This window comes from Homo sapiens, chromosome 2 (assembly GCF_000001405.40).
Source record: "Homo sapiens chromosome 2, GRCh38.p14 Primary Assembly".
Taxonomy (NCBI): Eukaryota; Metazoa; Chordata; class Mammalia; order Primates; family Hominidae; genus Homo; species Homo sapiens.
The window spans coordinates 108,507,527-108,535,079 of NC_000002.12; the positions used below are offsets into that span (position 1 = coordinate 108,507,527).

At 42.4% G+C, this 27,553-nt stretch overlaps 2 protein-coding genes and 1 long non-coding RNA gene across 10 annotated transcripts in view, besides 4 other annotated features; 2 read left to right on the plus strand and 1 right to left on the minus strand.

Annotated features, from left to right (window-relative positions):
* The window catches only part of GCC2 (GRIP and coiled-coil domain containing 2), a 60,210-nt gene extending 58,321 nt beyond the window's left edge, over window positions 1–1,889 (plus strand). For all 4 annotated transcript variants that reach the window (XM_006712870.4, XM_006712871.2, NM_181453.4 and 1 more), the window contains one exon: window positions 34–1,889. In XM_006712870.4, coding sequence (XP_006712933.1) covers window positions 34–104 — 71 coding nt within the window. In that variant the 3' untranslated portion in view covers window positions 105–1,889. The remainder of the gene's footprint in view (window positions 1–33) is intronic.
* Window positions 1–26,693, minus strand: GCC2-AS1 (GCC2 antisense RNA 1). Its single transcript, NR_135290.1, has 3 exons — window positions 26,303–26,693; window positions 4,404–4,486; window positions 1–95 (listed from the first exon to the last, which is right to left on the minus strand). It is a non-coding gene; the product is annotated as a GCC2 antisense RNA 1 (long non-coding RNA).
* Window positions 13,890–14,169: a mobile genetic element, noted in NCBI's record as "direction; forward".
* Window positions 14,119–14,153: a non allelic homologous recombination region, noted in NCBI's record as "2q12.3 distal recombination sub-region, recombines with the 2q13 recombination sub-region". NCBI's record gives the evidence for it as "EXISTENCE:nucleotide sequencing assay evidence [ECO:0000219][PMID:23657883]".
* Window positions 25,807–26,101: a silencer, noted in NCBI's record as "tiled region #7983; K562 Repressive DNase unmatched - State 1:Tss". NCBI's record gives its function as "represses a minimal TATA promoter and a strong SV40 promoter by Sharpr-MPRA in K562 cells {active_cell/tissue: K562}" and the evidence as "EXISTENCE:reporter gene assay evidence [ECO:0000049][PMID:27701403]".
* Window positions 26,145–27,553, plus strand: part of LIMS1 (LIM zinc finger domain containing 1) — a 153,576-nt gene continuing 152,167 nt past the window's right edge. For 3 of the 5 annotated variants that reach the window (NM_001371495.1, NM_001394896.1, NM_001193483.3), the window contains exon 1: window positions 26,944–27,068. In NM_001371495.1, coding sequence (NP_001358424.1) covers window positions 27,037–27,068 — 32 coding nt within the window. In that variant the 5' untranslated portion in view covers window positions 26,944–27,036. Of the gene's footprint in view, window positions 26,283–26,943; window positions 27,069–27,553 lie in introns of those variants that run through there. The other 2 variants (NM_001371496.1, NM_001394898.1) reach the window with 1 other exon arrangement.
* Window positions 26,590–27,189: a silencer, noted in NCBI's record as "silent region_11849". NCBI's record gives its function as "represses an Ori minimal core promoter by ATAC-STARR-seq in GM12878 lymphoblastoid cells {active_cell/tissue: GM12878}" and the evidence as "EXISTENCE:reporter gene assay evidence [ECO:0000049][PMID:35858748]".

Sequence of the window (27,553 nt, forward strand, 5' to 3'; positions counted from 1 at the left end):
TTTTTCTTTTTTTTTTTGTTTTACTTTCCAAAGGTGAGGAAGAAAATGCTTCCCGTTCTTCTGGATGGGCATCCTATCTTCATAGTTGGTCTGGACTTCGATAGGTTGATGGAAGGAATATTTTTATTAACCAAATAGAATCTATTTACAAAAATGGTTCACGTATATTACCACAATTCTTTTGTCAAAAAGTGTGTATATATGTTTGCATCTACATATATTTGTACATCTATATGACAGATGTATTTTAAAAGTTTCATCTTGAAGTAAAAGTACAACAGCTTGAAGTGTTGATAGCAGGCCACAGCCCTCTAACTCATGTGATTTCCCATGCATGCTGCCAGAATAAAACCACCAGGAATGAATTCACTCCCCACTTCTCTGGAACCTCAGGACCCGCCCATTTCTCGGCAGTACTGTGAATTTTGAAGTTAAACTAAATTTTGGTACCATACCAACTGGAATTTAGGCTTTAAAAATAATGTTTCAAGGCCAGGTGTGGTGATTCATGCCTGAAATCCCACTACTTTGGGAGGCTGAGGCTGGAGAATTGCTTGAGGCTAGTGAGCTGTGACTCCCACTGCACTCCAGCTCGGGGAACAGAGCGAGACCTTGTCTCTAAAAATAATAGTAATAAAATAAAAATAACGTTTTATGACTATTTATTGCAAGGTCAGAGTTACAGATTGTTATAAATTGTTGAGAAATTTTTGTGATTAGAATATGAAGGAAAAAGCTTTGTTGGTAAAAGTGACATGTTAAGGGGCTATGAAGTAAATATGCTGCAGTTAATTATGCTAAGTTAAAATACAGTTTAGTTATTTGCTTTAAAATAAACTCTTCTTTTTTTCTTTAAAGTATACTATCTCAAAACTCATTATGTTGTCAGAGCCCTAGAGCTGGCTAGTGTAACACTGACTATGAGTAGGTGGGCCCACACTTGAGTTGAGGTGATTTCATGGTGTCTTTCCAGGCTCTTGATAGGGTGTCACTGCATGCAAGCCATGAATCTGTTTTGAGAATCCTCTCCATTTTCCCAAATAAAAACCTATCACAACAGTGACTATATCACTCAGCATTGGATCTAAATATAAAAGTGGTGCTTTCAGTGTTTTTGGCAGATAGTGTTCCATAAGCTTTCCATCAGAAGGGATTTTAGACACCTTAGAGGTCCGTGCTACATCGTCACAGTTCCTCCGAATAACCTTAGGTGGTAGTGTTACTTGCCTTTGACACCTCTGCATATGTTTTAATGACTAGATCCAAACTGTGTTGTTCTTAAATCAAAAATTGGATAATTTGTAATATTTATGTGTTAATCACACAGTATGCTCTCTGAAGTTCTCTTAAGCCTTCAGTTTATACTCTTAATTTAATTTTCTTTCTGAGCTGGAGAACTGGCTTTGCACTTTGGTTACACAGAACATTGGTTTCCAATTCAGTTTAACTGAAATTTGCTGCTGATATGTTGAGTTTGTTCTTTAAAAAATAGCTCATATATCTCATCTTTCCTCCTGTCTTAGAAGAACAGACCTAACTAGTGAATGTATTAATGAAAATGCATCTATTTCAGAGCTGACATGAAGAGTTTAGTTTTTTTACTTTATAAACTGTGAATATGAGTATGCCAGCTGCATACGATGTAACTAATCATATTTAAATATATTTCACTTTCTCTTTGACTTTAGACCTTTTGAAGTCTGTATAAACTTGTTTTGAAATATAGTCTCTGCTTACGAATGTCATAACAAAATAATTTTTTGCATGATAAAAAATTACTTTGATTACAAAAGGCATATTCTTTCATGGTTTCTGCAATGAGAGGAAGTGTAATGATTATTTTAATATTTCTATTAAATATGTTTAACTGTATATTTTTATGGCTGCTCTTTTATGTTACACACTGTCTCTTTGGGGTTGTTAATTGGTTTCTGAAAGGGAACTTCAAACTCCTTTACTACTGGCCTTACACGATTGGTCCCTATTAGGTTGTCGAGAGAACATCGACCAACTCTTTGATACCCACCAGGTAGACCGTAGTACCTGCCATGTCTGACACCCTGCATCCAGCTAAAACTAGAAACAGCACTGGGCCTCCCTGTAGACAAGACATTGATTTGACCAGAAGCAGATGTCTGGCTAAGGCTGCCAACCAAAGGGTGGCCTTAGATGAAGGGCTTTGTTCAGTTAGGGGCAGAGGTCATTAATTTTTTTTTTTTTTTTTTTTTGAGACAGAGTCTTGCTCTGTCGCCCAGGCTGGAGTGCAATGGCGCGATCTCGGCTCACTGCAAGCTCTGCCTCCCGGGTTCACGCCATTCTCCTGCCTCAGCCTCCTAAGTAGCTGGGACTACAGGCGCCCGCCACCATGCCCGGCTAATTTTTTGTATTTTTAGTAGAGACGGGGTTTCACCGTGTTAGCCAGGATGGTCTCGATCTCCTGGAGGTAATTAATTTCTTTGGATGTTTGGACTAGGATATGGGGAGAGACAGAGCAGAAAGAGAAACACAGATGCCACAAGAAGGAGGAACAGAGCTAACCCTGCATAGGACTGGACACAGCAGCCAGACCAAGAGAGGCATCTAGTGAGAAGCAGCTCTTCAGCCCTGGGCCTGGTGCACACATCACTCCTTGGTTTCTAAGAACCAAATTTGGCCCAGCACAGTGCCTCATGCCTGTAATCCCAGCACCTTGGGAGGCCAAAGCGGGTAGATCATGAGGTCAAGAGATCAAGACCATCCTGGCCAACATGGTGAAACCCCATCTCTACTAAAAACACACAAAAAATCAGCTGGGCATAGTGGTGTGCACCTGTAGTCCCAGCTACTTGGGAGGCTGAGGCAGGAGAATCACTTGAACCCGGGAGGCAGAGTCCAGTGAGCCAAGATCACACTACTGCACTCCAGCCCGGTGACAGAGTGAGACTCCGTCAAAAAAAAGCCAAATTCATACAGTCCCTGAGGAGTGGGAACTGATGCACATCTCTTGTATACAATAAGCTATGCTTGTGCTCTGAACGGTGTAAGATTGAGAATTGTATTCCTTTAAAGAAAGTTCGGCAGAACTGTAACTGAATTACTAACAAGGCACTGAGAAGGCATACCATACTTTGTATTCTTTTTAAAGTCCCTGTTAGGTGGTGGTGTAGCTGGAAGTGTATAGTATTGAGGATGTAAAGTTTCCCCTAAAAAATTTTTGGTATTTGGCGAATGGCATAACACATCAAAAAATTGGTTGTATCATATGATTAAATTGCAACGTGATGATTTCAACTTGGTGGAAGACTTCTGCTTCGTCTTGGTATCTGAAAATCCCCTTTGCTTCAAACTTAATACACACCAAGGAGAACAACCTGATACAAGTTTGCAAGTGTCTTTGAGCTAATGGTTTTTCGTGGGTATTAAAAAGCATTGGGTTATTTATGTATAATTACGTAGAAAGAAAATGTTCCATTCAAGATACGGTTACACGAAAAGGCATCTAGTTGGGACCTTCAAATTATTACTTATATACCTACAGAAAATTCCTATAAATAGGCCGGGCGCGATGGCTCACACCTGTCATCCCGGCACTTAGGGAGGCCAGGGTGGGCAGATCACCTGAGGTCAGGAGTCCAAGACCAGCCTGGCCAATATGGTGAAAACTTGTCTCTACGAAAAATACAAAAATTAGCCAGGCATGTTGGCCCATGCCTGTAGTCCCAGCTACTCAGCAGGCTGAGGTAGGAGAATCACTTGAACTCGGGAGGGGAGGCTGCAGTGAGCCAAGATCACACACCACTGCACTCCAGCCTGGGCAACAAAGTGAGACCCCCATCTCAAATAAGGAAAGAAAATTCCTATGAAGAAACACTATACCTCTGAGTTTCAATAATAGAGATGATTAACCCAGTTTCCCTGCAAGGATGTGCTCACTGTGAACAGATGTAGTGGTTACCACTCCAGATGTCTGCCTAGCATTTGAGACAACAGTCCCTGTCACCCCTGCCTCTCTCTGGGAACTTCTGCCCCACCACCATACAGAGGGGCAGTAGGCCCAGCCATAATCAACTGAAACAGATACAGAGTTATGACCTGAGCCTAGGCAATTAGGTTTTCTCAGGAATATGGATCTGGGACTAAAGAACTCAGCATCTTCCTGTGACTGGAATTGTAGCATGTAAGTACAGAAGCTTTGGAGTGCCCAGAAAGAGCAGAGAAAGCCAGCCAAGAGAGTGCCAGGTTTAAGTTGACAGAAGAGGTCAACAAAATCGTGAAGTGAGTGTTCTGGGGACCTGAGAGTCAAGGGACTGGATTCTGTACAATGTCTCTGCATCATCATAGTAAACTTTCTACACATGCTTTGAAAGTAAATATCAGATAATTTGGAGCACAGTATAATGGTAAAGTATAAAATGTGAACTTACACAAGTACACCACAATTTCCGCCTCACTGACGAATAACTTGGGGCATGTTCTTCTTGACTGCTCGGAGCCCCCATTTCTTTATCTGTAAAAAGGAAATAAATTACATAGCTGTGAGTTATTGGATGACATCATAAAACCCAGCACAGAGGGCTGGACGCGGTGGCTCACGCCTGTAATCCCAGCACTTTGGGAGGCCACGGTGGGCGTATCACGAGGTCACGAGATCGGGACCATCCTGGCTAACATGGTGAAACCCTGTCTCTACTAAAAATACAAAAAATCAGCCAGGTGTAGTGGCGGGTGCCTGTAGTCTCAGCTACTTGGGAGGCTGAGGCAGGAGAATGGCGTGAACCCAGAAGGCAGAGCTTGCAGTGAGCCAAGATTGCACCACTGCACTCCAGCCTGGGCAACAGAATAAGACGCCATCTCAAAAACAAACAAACAAAAAAAAGCCAGCACAGAGTAGGCATGCCAGCATTCTCTCCCTTCTCAGCCTGCAAAAAGATTTATCAATTTACCTCATTTTCTTCTGTTCCTTGTTCTGACCTCAGTGCATGACCCATAGCACCAAGTGTTACTGTCGTTTATGAGTGAACAATTGAGTTAATAAGGAAATAAATTGAATGTTTTCTAACATTTTGACCTTAACTTATTTTTTAAAACTTTGTACCTCCCAGAGCTGGGAAGAGATTCCAGATTTCCCGACTTAGTCCAGAATGATGACTAATGCTGGACTTCGTCTATAGCTCTTATTGAAATGTCAGAAAACATTTTTTTCCCCAAAAACTATTAACTGATAAATTTATAGCATCAAACTGCATTTTTTAAAGGAGGCTTTTTGTTTTTTCTTTTTTGAGAGAGAGAGAGTCTTGCTCTGTCAACCCAGGCTGGAGTGCCTTGGCATAGTGTCAGTTCTCTGCAATCTCTGCCTCCCGGTCTCAGGTGATTCTCCTGCCTCAGCCTCCCAAGTAGCTGGGACTACAGGTGTGCACCACCACATCCAGCTAATTTTTGTTTGTTTGTTTTTGGTAGAGACGAGGTTTTGCCATGTTACCTAGGCTGATCTTGAACTCCTGGACTCAAGTGATCCACCCACCTCGGCCTCCCAAAGTGCTGAGATTTCAGGTGTGAGCCACCACACCTGGCCAAAAGAGACTTTTTTTTTTTTTTTTTTTTGAGACGAGTGTCGCTCTGTCGCCAGGCTGGAGTACAGTGGCATGGTCTCAGCTCACTGCAACCTCCACCTCCTGGGTTCAAGTGATTCTCCTGCCTCAGCCTCCGGAGTAGCTGGGACTACAGGCACGGGCCACCACGCCCGGCTAATTTTTTGTATTTTTAGTAGAGATGGAATTTCACTGTGTTAGCCAGGATGGTCTTGATCTCCTGACCTCGTGTTCTGCCCACCTTGGCCTCCCAAAGTGCTGGGATTACAGGCGTGAGCCATCGCGCCCAGCCCATGCGCAGCTAATTTTTTTTTTTTTTTGGATTTTAGTAGAGACAAGGTTTCACCATGTTGCCCAGGCTGTTCTTGAACTCCTGAGTGCAGGCAATCCGCCCACCTCACCCTCCCAAAGTGCTAGGATTACAGGTGTTTGGTTTTTTGTTTGGTTTTCAAGCAACCTTTCTAAATTTTGCTATGCTCACTCTTTCTTCACATGTTGGTACTGGCTAGATACAGATTTTGCTTTCCTATTGGAGACTTTTGAGAGCTGGCTATCCCCTCTTGCTCCTTTTCTTTTTTCTCTTCCCTACTTCCAAGTTTCTTGCTCTTTTTCTTACCCCATAAGTTACCAGAAATTCATACGCCCTTGAGAGCGCTTTTTGTTTGAACTTCAGTCTTTGGTTTCATCAACTTTTCTAAGGAAATTGATCTGTTAATGAAAGTTGGCTTGCTTGACTTCAGAATATCTGTATTATTCAGTGATATGTGTTTTTCTGGTTGCTTTGTTTGAGCACAGTGTAAATATCACCCATTGCATAGCTTTGGCAGTGACATAAATCTAGCAGCGTAAGATTGAGAAAAGCTAGAAGTCCCACCACAGATTGTATTTCAGTGAAAGGGATTCTTTTTAACTGCTTATAAAACTAAAGAAAACTTATAAACATGGAAAACAATTATTAAACCCACCATATGCTCATACTGATATTAAATGGTGTGCCGGATTCTAGTAAGAGTTACCTTTTGGTAAGAGCACTGCTTGTTAACTATAGTTGATTGCTTTAGATGTCTAGTGTGTACACAAAAGCATGAATTTTATTCCTTATAACCAAAGTAGAAACCTACTCTGAGCAATTTGACAAAAGGTTTACATTATTTATTTTAGTGTTGTTTAAGATTACAGTAAGATGCAATTCCCAAAGAGTGAAATATAAGGCTGGGCGTGGTGATCACGCCTGTAATCCTAACACTTTGGGAGGCTGAGGCGGGTGGATCACCTGAGGTCAGGAGTTCAAGACCAGCCTGGCCAACATGACGAAACCCCGTCTCTACTAAAAATACAACAATTAGCCAGACGTGGTGGTGTGCACCTGTAATCCCAGCTACTAGGGAGGCTGAGGCAGGAGAATCACTTGAACCTGGGTGGGGCAGAGGCTGGAGTGAGCTGAGATCATGCCATTGCACTCCAGCCTGGGCGCACTCTGAAAAAAAAAAAAAAAGTGCAATACAACTTTTCACAAAATATGGAACTGTGGTAGTCTAGAACAACGTCTCAATATACCTCCTACACTAAGTATAATAGTAAATATCTGTATTTGGTGGCATAATATGCTCTTAGTGTAAACCAAAAACACATGCTGAGCATTGGACATTGTCCAATGTTTAATTCATATGATTCATTCTGAGTTTCTGACTGAGATCATTCTTTCAGACTATGTCTATTTGTCCTGGGACCCATAAAATATGCAGCCCTAACATGATTTCATTTTTGTTTCCTTTCCTGGAAAAGGAGAAATCATTCAGATCAGCTTTCATATTGCCTTATAGACAATGACTTCAAAATAGTTTGAAAGGGACTCCTTTGTTCTAGAACTGCTCTAACACAGTAGCCACTAGCCACATGTGGCTATTGAAAGATTGAAATGTGGTTATTCCAAATCAGGATGTACAGTAAATATAAAATACACACCAGATTTCAAAGGCTTACATGAAAAAAGTAATGTGAAATATCTCACTAGTAGTTTTTATAGTGATTACATGTTGAAATTTTAACATTGTGAACATATTAGTTTAAATAAAATATATTGTGAAAATTAATTTCATGTTTCTATTTACTTTTGATAAAAGTACTACTAGAGGCTGGGTGTGTTGGCTCACTTCTGTAATCCCAGCACTTTGGGAGGCTGAGGTGGGAGGATCACGAGGTCAGGAGACCGAGACCATCCTGGCTAACACGGTGAAACCCCGTCTCTACTAAAAACACAAAAAATTAGCCAGGCGTGTTGGCAGGCGCCTGTAGTCCCAGCTACTAGGGAGGCTGAGGCAGGAGAATGGCGCGAACCCGGGAGGCGGAGCTTGCAGTGAGCCGAGATCGTGCCACTGCACTCCAGCCTGGGCTTCAGAGCGAGACTCCGTCTCAGAAAAAAAAAAACACTACTAGCACATTTTTAAATTACTTGTAGTGATCTCATTTGTACCACATTACATTTCAATCGTATACTGCTTTTCTAAAGAGTCACTGCTAAGCCCTGAAATTAACTCCAAATACCTCCCTGGAATACAGTGCCAAGGCAGGGGCTTCCTTGAACTTCAACCTCTAAAACTAAGCAAGAATTGAGAAATATCTTCTGATTTGAAAAATATTCACTCCCCAATCCTAATACATCAATTACATATTATTTGGGGGCTAACTAAGCTCCTATTTTAAAATGTAAATTGAAGAAATTAGGCCAGAGTCACTCCCATCTTAGTGCCAGTCATATAATCAGATAATTAGATTGCTCTTTCCCTAAAGCCTGTTTAGTTTTCTTGTTTGCTGGTTTTGTTGTTGTTGGGTTTTTTAATTTGTTTTTGTTGTTGTTGTTGTTGTTTTTGAGATGGATACTCACTGTGTCACCCAGGCTAGAGTGCAGTGGCATGATCTCTGCTCACTGCAACCTCCAACTCCTGGGTTCAAGCGATTCTCCTGCCTCGGCCTCCTGAGTAGCTGGGACTATAGTTGCATGCCACCACGCCCGTCTAATTTTTTTGGGTTTTTTTGTTTTTTTTGTTTGTTTTGAGACAGAGTCTCACTGTTTCCCAGGCTGGAGTGCAGTGGCACGATCTCGGCTCACTGCAACCTCCACTTCCGAGGTTCAAGCAATTCTCCTGCCTCAGCCTCCCAAGTGGCTGGGACTACAGGTGCATGCCATTATGCCTGGCTAATTTTTTGTATTTTTAGCAGAGATGGGGTTTCGCCATGTTGGCCAAACTGGCCTCAAACTTCTGGCCTCAGGTGATCCACCCGTCTCAGATCAAAGTGCTGGGATTACAGGCATGAGCCACCACTCACAGCTCGCTAAGGCCTTTTGCCAAGACAAATTAGCTCTTAGAGAACCACAGGATTCCTTTTGTAATGTATTACAAACTAAAGTCTTACCTACTCTTGAAGAGTAGAAAACATGAAAAAGTTCTATGTTAGCCCTTAGAATAATTAAAAATTCATAAGCTCTGAAATAAATACAGGTAATAAAATCATTGCATATGACAAAACAAAGTTTAAATTGGCGTTTGTAAACTCTGCATGAAAGCCAGGTTTCTCACTACTAGAAAAAGAAAAAAAGTTATAAATAAGCCAAGGAGAATTCCAGAATGAATCCTGTGGTGCCAAATATATGTTAACTACAAGGAATAACAGTGACCTTACACTGGAAACACCGTAACCATGGGCCAAGGTTAAAGATATAACAGCTTTCTCACACCCCTTGCACAGCTACCCCCAATGTTAACATAACTGTTAACAAATTATCAAAACTAAGAAATTAGTCTTGGTATAGTATCACTAACTAAACTCCAGACCTCAGTCAGGTTTTCCCAGTCTTTACTTCAGTGTCCTTCCTCTGTTTCAGGATTCAATCCATGATCCTTGACACTTGGTACTTTGTCAGATGTCCCGCTGTATGGGTTTGTTTGATGTTTTCCCATGATTAGGGATAGACACTGCAAGACTCAGAGCTACTTTACAAAGAAGCCTCTAGGGAGCTCCCCAGAGAAGACAGGGGAGACAACACAGGGACACTAGAGGAAATTTTAGCCTCTGACATCCATGACTATATAGCAAAGAGTAAACAAAGCCTAACTCCTAGCCAGAGAAACACAAAATCTCATACTAAAGCCTTATTTAACTCAGTTCCTTTCACCCAGTACATCATATACAGCCTCAAACAAAAAATTACAAAGCATACTAAAAGACAAGAAACCCCACACTTTGAAGAGACAGAGGAAGCATCAGAACCAGACTCAGATATGAAAGAAATATTGGAAGTATCCAACCAGGAATTTAAAATAACTAAGATTAACATGCTAGGGGCTCTAATGTAAAAACGGCATAACATGCAAGAACAGATGGGTAATGTAAGCAAAGAGATAAAAACACTAAGAAGAAATAAAAATGAAATACTAGAAATAAAAAACACCATAACAGAAATGAAGAATGCCTTTGATGGGTTCATCAAAAGAATGGATATGGCCAATGAAAGAATCAGTGAGCTCGAAGAGATGTCAATAGATACTTCAAAAGCGGACACACAATGAGAAAAAAGAATGAAAAAGAAAAAACAGAACAAGAGTCAAGAACTGTGAGACAATTACAAAAGGTGGAACGTGGAGACTTTTTGGAAATACCAGAAAGAGAAGAAAAAGAGAAAGAAAGCTGGGCATGGTGGCTCAGGCCTATAATCCCAGCACTTTGGGAGGCCGAGGCGGGCAGATCACAAAGTCAGGAGATTGAGACCATCCTGGCTAACACGGTGAAACCCTGTCTCTACTAAAAATACAAAAAATTAGCGGGGCATGGTGGCAGGTGCCTGTAGTCCCAGCTACTTGGGAGACTGAGGCAGAAGAATGGTGTGAACCTGGGAGGCAGAGCTTGCAGTGAGCTGAGATCATGCCACTGCACTCCAGCCTGGGCAACAGTGCAAGACTCCGTCTCAAAAAAAAAAAAAAAAAAAAAGAAAAAAAGAGAAAGAGAAAGAAACAGAAGAAACATCTGAAGCAACAGTGACTGAAAATTTCCCCAAATTAATGATAGATAACGCTATGGTCTGAATGTTTGTGTCTCCTCAAAAGTTATATTGAAACTTAATCCTCAATATGATAGTACTGAGGTGGGGCTTTTGGGAGTCAATCAGGTTATGAGGGCTCTATCCTCAGGACAGAGATTAATGCACTTATGAAAGAAGCCCCAGGGAATTAGCTAGCCCCTGACACCATGTGAGGACAAAGCCAGAATGTGTCATCTATGAGGAAGCAGGGCCTCACCAGACACGGCTAAGTGCCTTGGTCTTGGACATCACAGCCCCTAGAACTGTGAGAAATAAATTTCTGTTGTTTATAAACTCTCCAGTTTATGATATTTTTGTCACAGCAGCCCAAATGAACTAAGGTAGACATAAAGGAACAGATCCAGGAAGCTCAAAAAACACCGTATAGGATAAATAACAAAAATGCTACGTCGAGGTATATCTTTTTTTTTTTTTTCTAAGGTGGAGTTTCGCTCTTGTTGCCCAGGCTAGAGTGCAATGGTGCAATCTCAGCTCACTGCAGCCTCTGCCTCCTGGGTTCAAGTGATTATCCTCCCTCAGCCTCCCGAGTAGCTGGGATTACAGGCCTCTGCCACTAAGCCCAGCTAACTTTTTGTATTTTTAGTGGAGATGGGGTTTCACCATGTTGGTCATGCTGGTCTCGAACTCCTGGCCTCAGGTGATCTGCCCACCTTGGCCTCCCAAAGTGCTGGGATTACAGGCATGAGCCACTGGGCCTGCCTAAGTATATCTTATCTAGACACAGATCTCACTCCTTTCACAAAAATTAACTCAAAATGGATCATAGACCTAAATGTAAAATGCAACACTACAGAATTCCTAGAAGATAACATAGGAGAAAACTCAGGTGACCTTGGATTTGGTGATGACTTTTTAGATATAACATCAAAAACACGACTCATAAAAGAAAAAACTGGTAAGTTGGACTTCACTAAAATTAAATTTTTCTGCTCACAAAGGACACTGTTAAGAGAATGAAAAGGTAAGCCATTAAATGGGAAAAAAATCTTTGCAAAAAATATAGTTCTTTATATATGATATATATATTCTGAAAAAGGCAAAACCATAGAGACAGTAAGAAGTTCAGTGGTTGCCAGGAGTTAGGAGTTGGGGGCGGGGAGGGTGGATAAATAGTGGAGAACAGCTGATTTTTAGGGTAGTGAAACTATTCTGTTTGATTCTATAATGATGAATACATGTCATTATACATTTGTCAAAACCCATAGACTATACAACACCAAGAATGAACTCTAATGTAATCCAAAAGGACTATTGTTAATAAAGTTTTAATAATGGCTCATCAGTTATAACAAATGTACTACTATACTAATGCAAGATGTTAATAATAAGGGAAACTGGGGGGTGGGAGGGTTTGGGGTAAGAGGGCTTATGGGAATTCTCTTCTGTGTGCTCACTTTTCTGATAAGCTGAAATTGTTCAAACAATAAAATGTATTATTAATAGTTTTCAAAAATTCACTCGATGGGCTAAATAGCAGAATGCAGATGATGATAGCAGTTTGTGAACTTGAAGACAGATTAGAAATGGTAGACCTAAATCCTACCAAATCAATAATTATATTAAATGTAAATGGTCTAAATATACCAACTGTAAGGCAGAGATTGTCAGACTACATTAAACAGACAAGACCCAAGTACATGCTATTTATAATAAAATCACTTTCAATATAAAGACTTAGTTGATTAAAATTAAAAGAATGGGCTGTTCTTGGTGGCTCACACCTGTAATCCCACCACTTTGGGGGGTTGAGGCAGGCAGATCACGAGGTCAGTAGACCAAGATCATCCTGGCTAACACGGTGAAACCCTGTCGCTACTAAAAATACAAAAAATTCGCCAGGCATAATGGCACGCACCTGTAGTCCCAGCTACTTGGGAGGCTGAGGCAGGAGAATGGCTTGAACCTTGGAGGTGGAGGTTGCACTGAGCTGAGATCGTGCCACTGCACTCCAGCCTGGGTGACAGAGTGAGACTTCATATCAAAAATATATATATAGAAAAATAAAATTAAAAGAATGGAAAAATGCAAATACTAATCAAAGGAAATTAGGCTGGGTGTGGTGGCTTACACCTGTAATTCTAGCACTTTGGGAGGCCAAGGCAGGAAGATTTCTTGAGGCTAGGAGTTCCAGACCAGCCTGGGCAACAGAATGAGATCCCTTCTCTACAAATGAAAAAAAAAAATTTAAATAGCCCAGCATGGTGGCATGCATGGTATAATGTACCCTAGCTACTTGGGAGGCTGAGGTGGGAGGATCGCTTGAGCTCAGTAGTTTGAGGTTACAGCAAGCTATGATCACACCACTGCACTCCAGCCTGGGAAACAGAATGAGACCCTGTATCTAAAAAAATAAGCAAAAGAAAAAGGAAATGAGAGTGTCTATATTAATATCAAAGTAGACTTCAAACAAAGATGATTACCATGAATAAAGAAGGATATTACATAATTATTAAAGGGTCAATTCAACAAGAAGACGTAACAATCATAAATGTGTAAATATAATTCCATAGTAAAAGGAATCAGGAGGCTTGAGAGATGCTTATTTCAGGTCTGGGGTAAGGAATGTACAAAGTGAACCAGGACTAATGAAGTTATATTAAAACTCCAAAAGACGAAAAGAGTCATTTAAAAGACTAATGGAGTCATATGAAAAGGTCCCAGGAGCCAACAGAAAGGACTCCCCTTGGCCAAATCTGGAACATTTTGACAGTTTGAGCATCAATAAGAGTAATGAACCATAATTGACTAGAAGACATTTAAAGCATAAAAATTATTGAGTCCATAATCATACTCAATAAAGATGAAAACAAACCATCTTATTCATCACTGATGGGGGTGGCTGTTATTCAAGTTCTTATTCTAAAACTTGGTAATTAAAGGTAAATAAAGAATAATGTATTCTTTCTCTGCAGTGGAACTAAGTTTTAGATACAAAATAACCCCAGTGGATGAGGGAAAGTTCTTTAGAGGTAAGAATGACAGTTAATAAATGTAGAAAAAAGAAGATAATTTAATCACCATTTTGCAACTTCTAATTAAGTAACTGATGTGAGAAAGAATCATTACTGCATGCTAAAACCATTAAGGGAAAGATTTCAAAGATCTCAGTGTTTCAACCCATAGAATACTTTCCAGTGGCAGGATGATAAATGGATAGTTAACCCTATAATCTTAGAATCTCTAATAGTGGGTACACTAGATACTATGTGAAGAAAATGGCATCAGGCTGGGCGTGGTGGCTCATGCCTGTAATCCCAGCACTTTGGGAGGCAGAGGTGGGTGGATCACCTAAGGTCAGGAGTTCGAGACCAGCCCGGCCAATATGGTGAAACCCCATCTCTACTAAAAATACAAAAACTTTCTGGGCATGGTGGCAAGCGCCTGTAATCCCAGCTACGTGGGAGGCTGAGGAAGGAGAATCACTTGAACCCAGGAGGCGGAGGTTGCAGTGAGTCGAGATCGTGCCACTGCACTCCAGCCTGGGTGACAAGAGTGAAACTCCATAAGAAAGAAAGAAAGAAAAGAAAGAAAGAAAGAAAGAAAGAAAGAAAGAAAGAAAGAAAGAAAGAAAGAAAGAAAGAAAGAAAGAAAATTGTATCAACGGTGAAGAATTGTTGTCCAACATGTTTAATGTAATTGTGTTCAAGCCTAAAATTCTGCTTTACTGGAAATAAAAGAGAATACAGTTAAAGGACACCATGAGGAAACAATCAGATAAATACAGAAAGTGAGAACATTGACCCAACTTCTGTAAGTCAACTGGCTAGGTCTCTCCAATAAGTTCAAAGTCAAGAAAAAAAAGGGGGGGGGCCAGGTACTACACTTGATTTTTAAAAAGCTTAGAGACAAACAATGAAATGCAACCTATGCTCCTTAATTAGAACCCTATTTAAACAAACCAGCTCTCAAAGACATTTTTTGGGGTCAAAAAGGGAAAGGTGAATATAGTCTGGTTATTAGACAACATTTAGAAAGCACAGTTACTTGTGTTAGGTGTGAAAATTGTGTGATTATATTGTGAAAGAATTCATTCTTTAAAAAAGATGCATTCTAAAGTATTTAGGGGTGAAAAGTTTAAAGTAATTTACTTCAAACTACAGTGAAAAAAATTTAAACACTGCAAAATATTAACTGCTAAATCTAGATAGTGGCTTTATAATATTCATAGATGAGCATATTTCCTTTAAATTTCTAGGTGCTTAAAATTTTTCATGTTAAGTAATATATGTATTACATTGGGATACATATAACTATGATTGACAGAAAATAACACTAAAAGTGCAAGATCACTGATTCTATCTAGGAAGTAGGATTATAGGGACTTCAATTTTCTTTTCAAGTTAGCTTTTTTTTTTTGAGACGGAGTCTTGCTCTATCGCCCAGGCTAGAGTGCACTGGCGCAATCTCAGCTCCCTCCAAGCTCCACCTCCCGGGTTCACACCATTCTCCTGCCTCAGCCTCCCGAGTAGCTGGGACTACAGGCACCCGCCACCATACCCAGCTAATTTTTTTTGTATTTTTAGTAGACACAGGGCTTCACCGTGTTAGCCAGGATGGTCTCAATCTCCTGACCTCGTGATCTGCCCGCCTCAGCCTCCCAAAGTGCTGGGATTACAGGGTGTGAGTCACTGCACCTGGCCCAGTATTTGTCCTTTTTATGATTTGCTTCTTTCACTTAGTGTAACGTTCTCAAGGTTGATCCATTTTGCAGCATAAGTCAGAATTTCCTTCCTTTTTTTTTTTTTTTTTTTTTTTTGAGATGGAGTCTTGCTCTTGTTGCCCAGACTGGACTGCAATGGCATGATCTTGGCTCACTGCAACCTCCACCTACTGGGTTCAAGTGATTCTCCTGCCTCAGCCTCCGGAGTAGCTTGGACTATAGGCGCCCGCCACCATGCCCAGCTAATTTTTGTATTTTCAGTAGAGATGGGGTTTTACCATGTTGGCCAGGCTGGTCTCGAACTCCTGACCTCAGGTGATCTGTCTGCCTTGGCCTCCCAAAGTGCTGGTGTTACAGGCATGAGCCACCTTGCCCAGCCAGAATTTCCTTTTTAAGGGTGAATAGATAAATATTCCATTGTATGAATGTACCACACTTTATTTATCCATTTATCCATTTCTGGACATTTGGGTGGTTTCCACCTTTCATCTATTGTGAATAATGCTACTATGAATGTGCACATGCAAATATCTCTTCAAGACCTTGCTTTCACTTCTTTGGGATATAGATCCAGAAGTGGAATTGCTAGATCACATGGCAACTGTATCTTGAATTTTTTAAAGAACTGCCTTACTGCTTTCCACAGGAGCTGCACCATTTTACATTCCCTCCAACAGTGCACAAGGGTTCCAATTTCTCCACATCCTTGCTAACATTATTTTCTGTTTTTTTGATAGTAGCCATCTGAAAGGGTAAGGGGTATATCTCACCATGGTTTTGATTTGCATTTCCCTAATGATTAGTGATGTTGAGCATTTTTTCATATACTTATTGGCTATTCTTATTTAACAGCTGCAGAGTATTCCTGGTAGAAACCGTAATTTACTTAAACAATATCCTGGATAAATAAACCTTCTCAGTTCCTAAAAACAAAACTGCAATGACTCCCCTTGTACATTCGTCTGTTTTCAATTTTTTTTTTTTTTTTTGAGACGGAGTCTCAGTCTGTCGCCCAGGCTGGAGTGCAGTGGCACGATCTCAGCTTAGGGGAGGAGACCACCCCTCATATTGTCTTATGCCCAATTTCTGCCTCCAAAGAAAAAAAGGTAAAAACTAAAAGGCAGAAATGAAATCCACAAGCAGACAGCCCGGCCCCACACCCTAGGCCTGGTAGTTAAAGATCGACCCCTGACCTAATCGGTTATGTTATCTATAGATTACAGACACTGTATAGTAAAGCACTGTGAAAATCCCTATCCTGTTTTGTTCCGATCTAATTACCAGTGCATGCAGCCCCCAGTTACATACCCCCTGCTTGCTCAATTGATCACGACCCTCTCACGCGCACCCCCTTAAGAGTTGTGAGCCCTTAAAAAAGACAAGAATTGCTCACTCGGGGAGCTTGGCCCTTAAGAAAGGAGTCTTGCCTATGCCCCCGGCTGAATAAGCCCCTTCCTTCTTTAACTCGGTGTCTGAGGAGTTTTGTCTGCGGCTGGTCCTGCTACATTTCTCGGTTCCCTGACCGGGAAGCGAGGTGATTGGCAGATGGTCGAGGCAGCTCCTTAGGCGGCTTAAGCCTGCCCTGTGGAACATCCCTGCGGGGGACTCCGACCAGCCCGAGCGGATCCTGAGAGCGCTCCCAGGTAGGCACTTGCCCGGTGGGATGCCTCACCAGAGCAGTGTGTGGCAGGCCCCCATGGAGGATCAACGCAGTGGCTGAACACTGGGAAGGAACAGGCACTTGGAGTCTGGACATCTAAAACTTGTTAAGACTAGTCTTTGAAACTTGCGCACTCCGTTTGAGTGGAAGCGTGGCCTGATCACCCATGGCATGCCTTTATCGGCACTTTGGTTTTGGTTTTGACTTGGTTTGAATTGCTTGACAGGATTGGTCTTAGGAACTTGCCTACTCCATTTGAGTGGAAGCATGGCCTGATCACCCACGGTGTGCTCGTACCGGCACTTTGGTTTTTGTTATTAACTTGATTTGGATTGCTTGATACTTTGGTTTTGATTTTGACCTGGCTTGGATTTCTGGATACTCTGATTTTAGTTTTGATTTTGGTTTGGTGCAAATTGCAAAGGTGTGTGTGTGCCCTTTTTACCCGTTCTTTGTTTTATGGTGTGTGTGTGGTGTAAGTGTGGTGTTTTGTCTCGAAGAAGCATAGGTCAGGCACCAATAAGCCCACCCTACTAGGAGATAAGTTGAAAATTTTCAAAAAAGAATTTAAAAGAGACTATGGAGTACTGTGACACCAGGAAAACTTAAAACTTTGTGTAAGACAGACTGGCCAGCATTAGAGGTAGGTTGGCCATTAGAAGGAAGCCTGGACAAGTAAGTCCCTTGTTTCAAAGGTATGGCACAAGATAACCTGTAAGCCTGGGAACCCAGACCAGTTCCCGTACATAGACACTTGGTTACAGCTAGTTTTAGATCCCATGCCCCCAACACACAGTGGTTGAAAGAACAGCAGCATAAGCAGCTGGCAGAGGCAAGGAAAGACCAGCAGAGAGAGATAAAGGAAAGAGACAGAGAGGAAAAGAGGCAAAGAGAAAGAGGAAGAGACAGAGAGGAAGAGACAGACAAAGAGGAAGTCAAGGAGAGAGAGAGAGAGAGAAAGAAAGAGAGAGGCAGAGAGAGAGAGAAAGAAAGAGAGAGGCAGAGAGAGAGAGAAAAAGAGAAAAAGAGACAGAGTCAAAAAGAAAGTCAAAGAGAGAGAGACAAAGTCAGAGAGAGAAAGAGAGATATACAAGCAGTTAAAAAAAAAAAAGGTGTACCCTATCCCTTTAAAAGCCAAGGTAAATTTAAAACCTATAATTGATAATTGAAGGTATTATCTGTAACCCTATAACACTCCAATACCACTTTGTTGTCAGTGTAAACAAGGGCGTATCCCAAAACACTGAGGCCTTCCTATCAAAAATCCTTAACCCAGTAACCCGTGGATGGCCCAAATGCATTCAATCTGTAGCGGCAACTGCTTTGCTAACAACAACAAAAAAAAAAAGTAAAAAAAATAACTTTTAGAGGAAAGGTCATTGTGAGCACACCTCACCAGTTCAAAAGTATCCTAAGGAAAAAAAAAGGCAGGGCAGAATTTATATAAAAAGAGTATTATATGGTAAATTCTTGTCCTGAAATAAATTAATTGGTTGTTTAAAGAAAGAAATATTTGTAATAAGTCAGAAAGTTAAGGCATGTCGAAGAATTGTCTGTGAAAGTCATGAAAGAGAAAAATGTTATAAAAAGAATTTATGTAAAAAATGTTGTATAATTTAAAAGTAACTAGTCCTCCTGAATGTAAAACTATTAAAAAAAAAAACAGTTTATGTGCAAGGTGTATAAGAAAAGTATACTATACCTTTGGTAAAAGGATTATAAGGGGGCATAAGAATGTACATTCTTACCTACATTAAAAAGTTTAAAAAAAAACTATTGTTTTGAAAGTTTAAGCAAGTTTTAAAACGTTAATTGTAAAGAAAATTCTGTGTGTAAACATATTAGCTAAAGTTAAAGAAGTATCATCGAGTTTTTCTGTGAACTGGACATTAAAGTAAAAGCATAATAGGTTTTTCTTAAAGCACCAACCTGCTCTTTAGCAAAAGTTATAAAAGGTTAAAAAGAGTCTATAAAATCTTACTTTATGGTCAAACATTAAAAATTAGATAAATATGTCTACAAGCTTTTATTAAAATTACATTTAATATTAATAACACACTAATATAAAGATAAAATTTAGCTTATCTGGTATAAAAATCATACAAGAAGCATTGTTAAATGTAAAATGGTATTTGGCTTCTTTGGTTTAAAAACTAATAAAAATAGGTGCTAAAGGAAATTTCTCAGTAAAAAGGCACTAAGGACTATAAAGTCCACTGCCAAAGTCCCCACATTTGAAACAAAATATCAATTTCTTAAAAATTATATACTTGGTTTATCTTCCACTTTCCTTTCTCTCAAAAACTAAAAGTCTTTTAGCACATGTACCACCCCTAGAATTTCTGGTAAACCAGCACCATCAGCCTGAAGATCATGTTCTCATCAAAAGGTGGAAAGAAGAAAAACTCAAGCCAGCCTGGGAAGGACCCTACCTTCTGCTGCTAACCACCAAGACTGCTATTCGTACAGCAAAAAAAAAAAAAAAAGGATGGACTCATCACACCCGAGTCAAGAAAGTGCCACCCCCTCCAGAGTTGTGGGCCATAGTCCCAGGGGAAAACCCTACCAAACTAAACCTAAGAAAAATTTAACTCTTTTTATCTAGTCTATTACTCTTTCTTCTTTCCTCGTTCTATTGCTGACCATCCAGTTATTAACAACCAAGTCAATTTCACCTCAAACTATTGCATTTAATGCTTGCCTTGTTATACCCTGTGGGGACTTGCCAAGTCAAAGACAGCTTTCTACTTCAGAAAAGTACTTCTGTCCCGCCTGACTCTCCTCAGACTGGGCATTAGTAAACTAGGACCATTTAATCCAGGGAGATGTCTATAAAGACCCCAGTGTCAACCAGGAGTCTTGCCCCCCCATGTAGACCTTTCATGCCATAGTTGGTCCAACGTTCTGTGGACCAGTAAAGAGCAAGGATGGACTGCCCCAACAGGTTTTTGCAATTTCCTAAAACCATACATTCATTTTACTAGAGGATCATAGAAGTTAAAGACTTAAACTTTAGCAATTAAGACAAGATACCAAGGTGCAAATGCCTGGTTAAAAGGGATCAAATATTCCATCTGCATGTTAAACAAAAATAATTGTTATGCTTGTGCACATGGCAGGCCAGAGGCCCAGACTGTCTCCTTTCCACTAAAGTGGTCGTCCAGTCAACCAGGTGTAGGCTGCATGGTAGCCCTTTTCCAGGATTCTACAGCCTGAAGTAATAAGTCGTGCCAAGCTCTCTCTGCTATATCCCAAAGTCCAGCACCCTGTGGGTCAGCCCTTGAAGGCCATCCAGCCTCCATCTCCCAACACTAAGTTCACTGTGTCTCTCTCACGACAAGTAGGAAACTTAGCGTTCCTTGGAGACCTGAAAGGATGCAGTGAGCTTAAGAATTTTCAAGAGCTTATCAATCACTCAGCCCTTGTTCACCCCCGAGCGGATGTGTGGTAGTATTGTGGTGGACCTTTAGTAGGCACTCTGCCGAATAACTGGAGCGGCACTTGTATTTTAGTCCATTTGACTATCCCTTTCACCCTGGCATTTCATCAACCAGAAGGAAAAAAAAATAAGACATCGTAAAGGGAGAGAAGTCCCTTATAGGTCTTTCGACTCTCAGGTCTATTTAGACGCAATTGGAGTCCTACGAGGAATACCAGATCAATTTAAAGCTTGAAACCAAATAGCTACAGGATTTGAGTCAATATTTTGGTAGGTGACAGTTAATAAAAATGTAGATTAGATAAACTACATCTATTACAACCAACAGCAACGAGCTTTTCATGAGTTAAAAGAAAAACTCATGTCGGCCCCAGCCCCGGGGCTACCTGACCTGACAAAACCCTTTACACCTTATGTGTCAGAAAGAGAAAAAATGGCAGTTAGAGTTTTAACTCAGACTGTGGGGCCCTGGCCAAGGCCAGTGGCCTATCTCTCAAAACAACTATACAGGGTTTCCAAAGGCTGGCCCCCAGGTCTAAGGGCCCTAGCAGAAATGGCCCTGTTAGCACAAGAAGCAGATAAACTAACCCTTAGGCAAAACCCGAATATAAAGGCCCCCATGCTGTGGTAACTTTAATGACTACCAAAGGACATCATTAGTTCACAAATGCTAGATTAACCTATGTGAAAATCCCCACATAACCACTGAAGTTCGCAACACCCTAAACCCCACCACCTTGCTCCCGGTATCAGAGAGCCCAGTGGAACATAACTGTGTAGACGTGTTAGACTCAGTTTATTCTAGCAGGCCCAACCTCCGAGACCATCCTTGAACATCAGTAGACTGTGAACGGTACGTGGACAGGAGCAGCTTCACCAACCGCTGCAAAGTGACTCTGAAGAAGACGACAAACCCTGCTCCAGTCACACCCGGAAGCTGACTGGTCCACGCATGGCCAAAGCATGAGAAAACTCATCGCGGGACTCATTTTCCTTAAAATTTAGACTTTTACAGTAAGGACTTCAACTGACCTTCCTCAGACCGAGGACTATTCCCAGGGTATACAACAAGTCACTGAGGTAGGACAAAAAGTTGCTGCGGTCCTATTATTTTGTGGTTATTATAAGTGTACTGGAACTCTAAAAAGAACTTGTTTGTATAATGTTATTCTATACAAGGTATGTAGCCCAGGAAATGACCAACCTGATGTGTGTTATGACCCATCTCAGCCTCCCATGACCACAATTTTTAAAATAAGATTAAGGACTGAGGACTGGTGGGGGCTCATAAACGATACGAGTAAAGTGTTAGCTAAAACAGAAGAAAAAGGGGTGCCCAAACAAGTCACCTTAAAAGTTAATGTCTGCGCTGTCATTAATAGTAATAAGTTAGGAATAAGGTGTGGTTGTCTTAATTAGAAAAGAGGCTATATGGCAGAAAATAAGTACATCTGTCATAAATTAGGACTGTGTGGAAATAAATATAAATACTGGTCTTGTGTCATTTAGGCCACTTAGAAAAAAAAATGAAAAAGATCCAGTCCACCTTCAGAAAGGAAAAAATGGCCCTTCCTGTACTAAGGGACAATGTAACCCCTTAGAGCTAGTAATAACCAATCCCCTTGATCCTCGCAGGAAAAAAGAGGAGAGTGTGACCTTAAGAATCGACGGGGCCGGACTGGATCCTCAAGTAAACATCTTAGTTCGAGGAGAAGTTTATAAATGCTCTCCTAAGCCAGTGTTTTAAACTTTCTATGATGAACTAAATGTGCCAGTACCAGAAATTCCAGGAAAAACAAGAAATTTGTTTTTGCAATTAGCCGAGCATGTAACCCAGTCTCTCAATGTCACTTCACGTTATGTACGTGGAGAAACTGTAATAGGAGATCAATGGCCACAGGAAGCCCAAGAATTAGTACCTACAGACCAAGTTCCTGATGAATTCCCAGCTCAAAAGAATCACCCTGATAATTTCTAGGTCCTAAAAGCCTCAATTATTGGACAATATTGCATAGCTAGAGAAGGAAGAGAATTCACTCACCCCGTAGGATGACTTAGTTGTCTGAGACAGAAAGTGTATAATGGCACCACAAAAACAGTCACTTGGTGGAGTTCAAGTCACACAGAGAGAAATCCATTTAGTAAATTCCCAAAGTTGCAAACTGTGTGGACCCACCCGGAGTCCCACCGGGACTGGACAGCCCCCACTAGATTGTACTGGATATGTAGGCATAGAGCTTATGCCAAATTACCCGACCAGCAGGCAGGTAGTTGTGTTACTGGCACTATTAAACCATCTTTCTTCCTACTGCCCATAAAAACAGGCGAAATCCTAGGCTTCCCTGTCTATGCTTCCCACGAAAAGAGAAGCATAGCTATAAGAAATTGAAAACATGATAAATGGCCCCCTAAGAGAATCATGCAATATTATAGGCCTGCTACTTAGGCACAAGACGGCTCGTGAGGATACCAGACCCCCATTTGCATGATCAACTGAATCATACGGTTACAAGCTGTCTTAAAAATAACCACTAATAAAACTGGCAGAGCCTTGACTCTTCTGGCCCGGCAATAAACTCAGATGAGAAATGCTATCTATCGAAATAGATTAGCTCTCGACTACTTGCTAGCAGCTGAAGGTGAGGTCTGTAGGAAATTTAACCATACTAATTACTGCCTATACATAGATAATCAAGGGCAAGTAGTTGAAGACATAGTTACAGATATAACAAAATTGACACATGTGCCCGTACAAGTGTGGCATGGATTTGATCCTGAGGCCATGTTTAGAAAATGGTTCCCAGCACTACGAAGATTTAAAACTCTTATAATAAAAGTTATAATAGTAATAGGAACCTGCTTACTGCTCCCTTGTTTGCTACCTGTACTTCTTCAAATGATAAAAAGTTTCATCGCTACCTTAGTTCACCAAAATGCTTCAGCAGAAGTGTACTATATGAATGAATCACTATCGATCTGTCTTGCAGGAAGACATAGATAAGAAAATGAAAGTGAAAACTCCTACTATTGAGTGAGAGTCTCAAAGGGGAGGAATAAGGCAGGAGACCACCCCTCATATTGTCTTATGCCCAATTTCTGCCTCTAAAGAAAGAAAAAGTAAAAACTAAAAGGCAGAAATGAAATCCACAAGCAGACAGCCCGGCCCCACACCCTAGGCCTGGTAGTTAAAGATCGACCTCTGACCTAATCAGTTATGTTATCTATAGATTACAGACACTGTATAGAAAAGCACTGTGAAAATCCCTATCCTGTTTTGTTCCGGTCTAATTACTGGTGCATGCAGCCTCCACTCACGTACCCCCTGCTTGCTCAATCGATCACGACCCTCTCACGTACACCCCCTTAGAGTTGTGAGCCCTTAAAAAGGACAGGAATTGCTCACTCGGGGTGCTTGGCCCTTGAGACAGGAGACTTGCTGATGCCCCCGGCCAGATAAACCCCTTCCTTCAACTCGGAGTCTGAGGAGTTTTGTCTGCGGCTCATCCTGCTACAGGCTCATTGCAAGTTCCGCCTCCTGGATTCACGCCATTCTCCTGCCTCAGCCTCCCAAGTAGCTGGGACTACAGGCGCACACCATCATGCCCAGCATTTTTTTTTTTTTTTTTTTAGTAGAGACGGGGTTTCACCGTGTTAGCCAGGACGGTCTCAATCTCCTGACCTCATGATCTGTCTGCCTTGGCCTCCCAGAGTGCTGGAATTACAGGCCTGAGCCACCGCGCGGCCATTTTCAATTTTAAAAAACTTTTTTATTACAGAAATGTTCACATATACACTAAAGTAGACAAGCTAATATAAAGAATGTAATGTATTTATGAGGTAGTTTCAAGTTATCAACCCACATTCCCCACCCCTACATTTTAAAGTAAATTTCAGTGATGTCATTTAGTGTACAGATAGTTGCCTAGGGACCTTTAAAATTTGTTCTTTCTTTTTTCTTTTTTTTTTTTTTTTGAATCGGGGTCTCACTCTGTCACCCAGGCTGCAGTGCAGTGGTGCAATTATAGCTGGCTGGAACTACAGGTGCACGCCACCATGCCCAGCTAATTTTTAATTTTTTTTTTTTGTAGAGACAAGGCAGGGGGGTCTCCCTTTTCTTCCCAGGCTGGTCTTGGACTCCTAACCTCAAGGGATCCTCCTGCTTCGACCTCCAAAAGTGCTGGGATTACAGGTGTGAGCCACCATGCCCAAATTTGTACATTCTTTTGGTGTACATATAAGAATACATTTGTAAGATAAATTCCAAAATATGAATATCTTGGGTCAAAGAAGAGCTGAATTTTACATTGATAGCTATTGCCCACTTGTTCTTTACAAAGCGTGTATGGATTTATACTCCTATCAACAATAAATTAGCCAGGCATGCTGACGTGCACTCGTAAACCCTGCTATTCAAAAGGATAGTTGAAGTCCAAGAGTTCAAGACCAGTGTGGGTAACATAGAGAGGCCTCCTCTAGGGGAGGAAAAAAGGGTTTCCCTATATCCTCATCAAAACAATATATAGTCAAACTTTTCATCTTTGCATTTGTGAAAAATTGTATTTTATTTTTGTTTTATGATACTTTAAGAAATCATTTGTATTTTTCTGTAGAAACCTGTTTTTCTCTGAGTTGAACATTTTTGTACTGATTTTTTTAATAATTAGAACTTTTTTAATAATTTAGAACTTTTTGTCATACATTTTACAAATATTTTTCTTGGTTGGGGTTTGTTATATTTATTTGCTATGCAGAAAATTTAGATTTCTATGTAGTTACATTTATCAATTTTTATTTATTTATTTAGAGACAGAGTCTTGCTCTGTCGCCCAGGCTGGACTGCAATGGCGCGATCTCGGCTCACTGCAACCTCTGTCTCCCAGGTTCAAGTAATTCTCCTGCCTCAGCCTCCCAAGTAGCTGGGATTACAGGAACCCCGCCACCACAACCGGTGAAATTTTTGTATTTTTATTAGAGACGGGGTTTCACCATGTTGGTCAGGCTGGTCTCAAACTCCTGACCTCAGGTGATCCACTCACCTCAGCCTCTCCAAGTGCTGGGATTACACGCGTGAGTCACCGTGCCCGGCCTACATTTATCAATTTTTAATTTTATGGTTTATATGCTCTTTGAAAAGTCTCTCACCACTCCAACCTTACTTTTGTTTTTTTCCCTTGTTTTCTTCTGGTATTTTCATAACCTCTCTCTTTTTTTTTTTTTTTTTTTTTGTTTTTTGAACATTTAACTATTTGCTTTGTTTGGAATTTACTTTCATGTGAGGACATCAAATAGATCCAGTGTTTTCCTCCGACATGCCTCGACTGGCAGGAGACCAAAGTTTTCATTCTATTACTAGAGAGTAGCTATAGTTACAGAATCAGGTATCCTGAGAGAGATCATTTATGCCCAGGATGAATAACTTGTCTTATCTATTAAATCTATTAAATCCTTTGGAGATTTCACTTTTTTTTTTTTTTTTTTTTGGGACGGAGCCTGTTACCTAGGCTGGAGTGCAGTGGCGCGATCTCCCAGCTCACCACAAGCTCCGCCTCCCAAGTTCAAGCGATTCTCCTGCCTCAGCCTCTCGAGTAGCTGGGATTACAGGCATGTGCCACCACCACGCCCGGCTAATTTTGTATTTTTAGTAGAGACGGGGTTTCTCCATGTTGGTCAGGCTGGTCTCGAACTCCTGACCTCAGGTGATCCGCCTGCCTCAGCCTCCCAAAGTGCTGGGATTACAGGCGTGAGCCACTGCGCCGGCCCCAAAATTTCAGGTTTTGATAGACGGAATGGGTGAAGAAAATGAGAGCTAGCAAGGAAGAACAGGATGCAGAGGCAAGACTGGAAACTCTCCAAGAAAGGTTAACTTTTCTTAACTCACAAGTTAAACAAAGGCTGCAGGCTCCATGCGGAGCTCAGGCACCCAGCGGTGACCGATCCAGACCAGGTCCTCCCGGAAGCCCGGCCTGCCCGACAGAGCCTTACCACAGAGCCCCCTCAGGCGTCCTCGCCAGGACGGGGCGGAACCCTGTGTAGCTCCCACCCCCGGGACGAAGGCCGCTGCCAGGGCCGCGCAGCCACGCGAGTGGAATCAGAGGAGCCTCGAGGCAAGGAGAGCCGGGCCCCGCTCCCTGCGCCCGTCACCGCCATCCTTGTTGTAGGGAACTCGGCCCCCGAGCCGCCGCCGCGCTCCGTGGGCTCCCAATGAGCCCCTACCCCAGCCACCCGCTGCGTTTGCGCCAGCCTCCCAGACTAGCCTGGGGTGCTGAAATGGGGGCGGGCCCGAGCCACGGGTTGGGGCGGGGTCTGATGCGCGCCCCGCCCCGCAACGCCCCGCCCCCCCGCGCCTACCTCTCCAGTCCGCGCCCTTCGGCGCCCGCCCCGCCAGTCCCCGCCCCTCCTTGCCCAGCCGCTCCCGCCCCTCCCCCGCCTTCCCGCGCGGCCCGCCTCGCCTTCCCCCCCCTCCCGCGCCCCCGCGCGGCCGGCCCCTGGCCTTCCTCCCCTTCCTGCTCCGGGCCCGCCAGTAGCCGGCCGCGGCGGCGAGGGACTAGGACGCGGCTGGAGCGGCGCCGGGAGACGAGGGGCTGAGAGACGGCGGCGGCCGAAAGCGGAGAGATGCTGGGCGTGGCGGCCGGGATGACCCACAGGTACGGGCCGCACCGCGCGGCCCCCGCCACGTCCGCCCCGCAGCTCCCGGCGGGCCTTCGGGCCGGGCCGGGCCGGGCCTGGCGCGGGCGGGCGGCCGGGCTTTCCCCGCGGCCTCCCCCGGTCGGCCGGAGCCCCGACCCCCAGCGCTCGGGTGGCGGCGTGGCTGCGTCCGGGCCCGCGGAGGAGACGGCTGCTGTTCACTCCCGGGTGTCCGCGGTGGCACAGGCGCTGACGCCGCCCCGCTGCTCCGAGAGTTCCATAAGACAAATCAGTATTTGCCGAGCTAATCATTTATCTTCTAGCAGTAGGGATCAGCGGGTCGCAGACGTCTTGGTCTCAGGACCCCTCTTGGGACTAGAGGACCTGGAATGGTGGCTATCTCCATAGACTGTACTAGAAAGGAAAACCGAGACACTGAAGTTACTATTAACTCATTGAATAAATCCGTGGTATGTTAACGTACATACCACATTTTTATGCAACA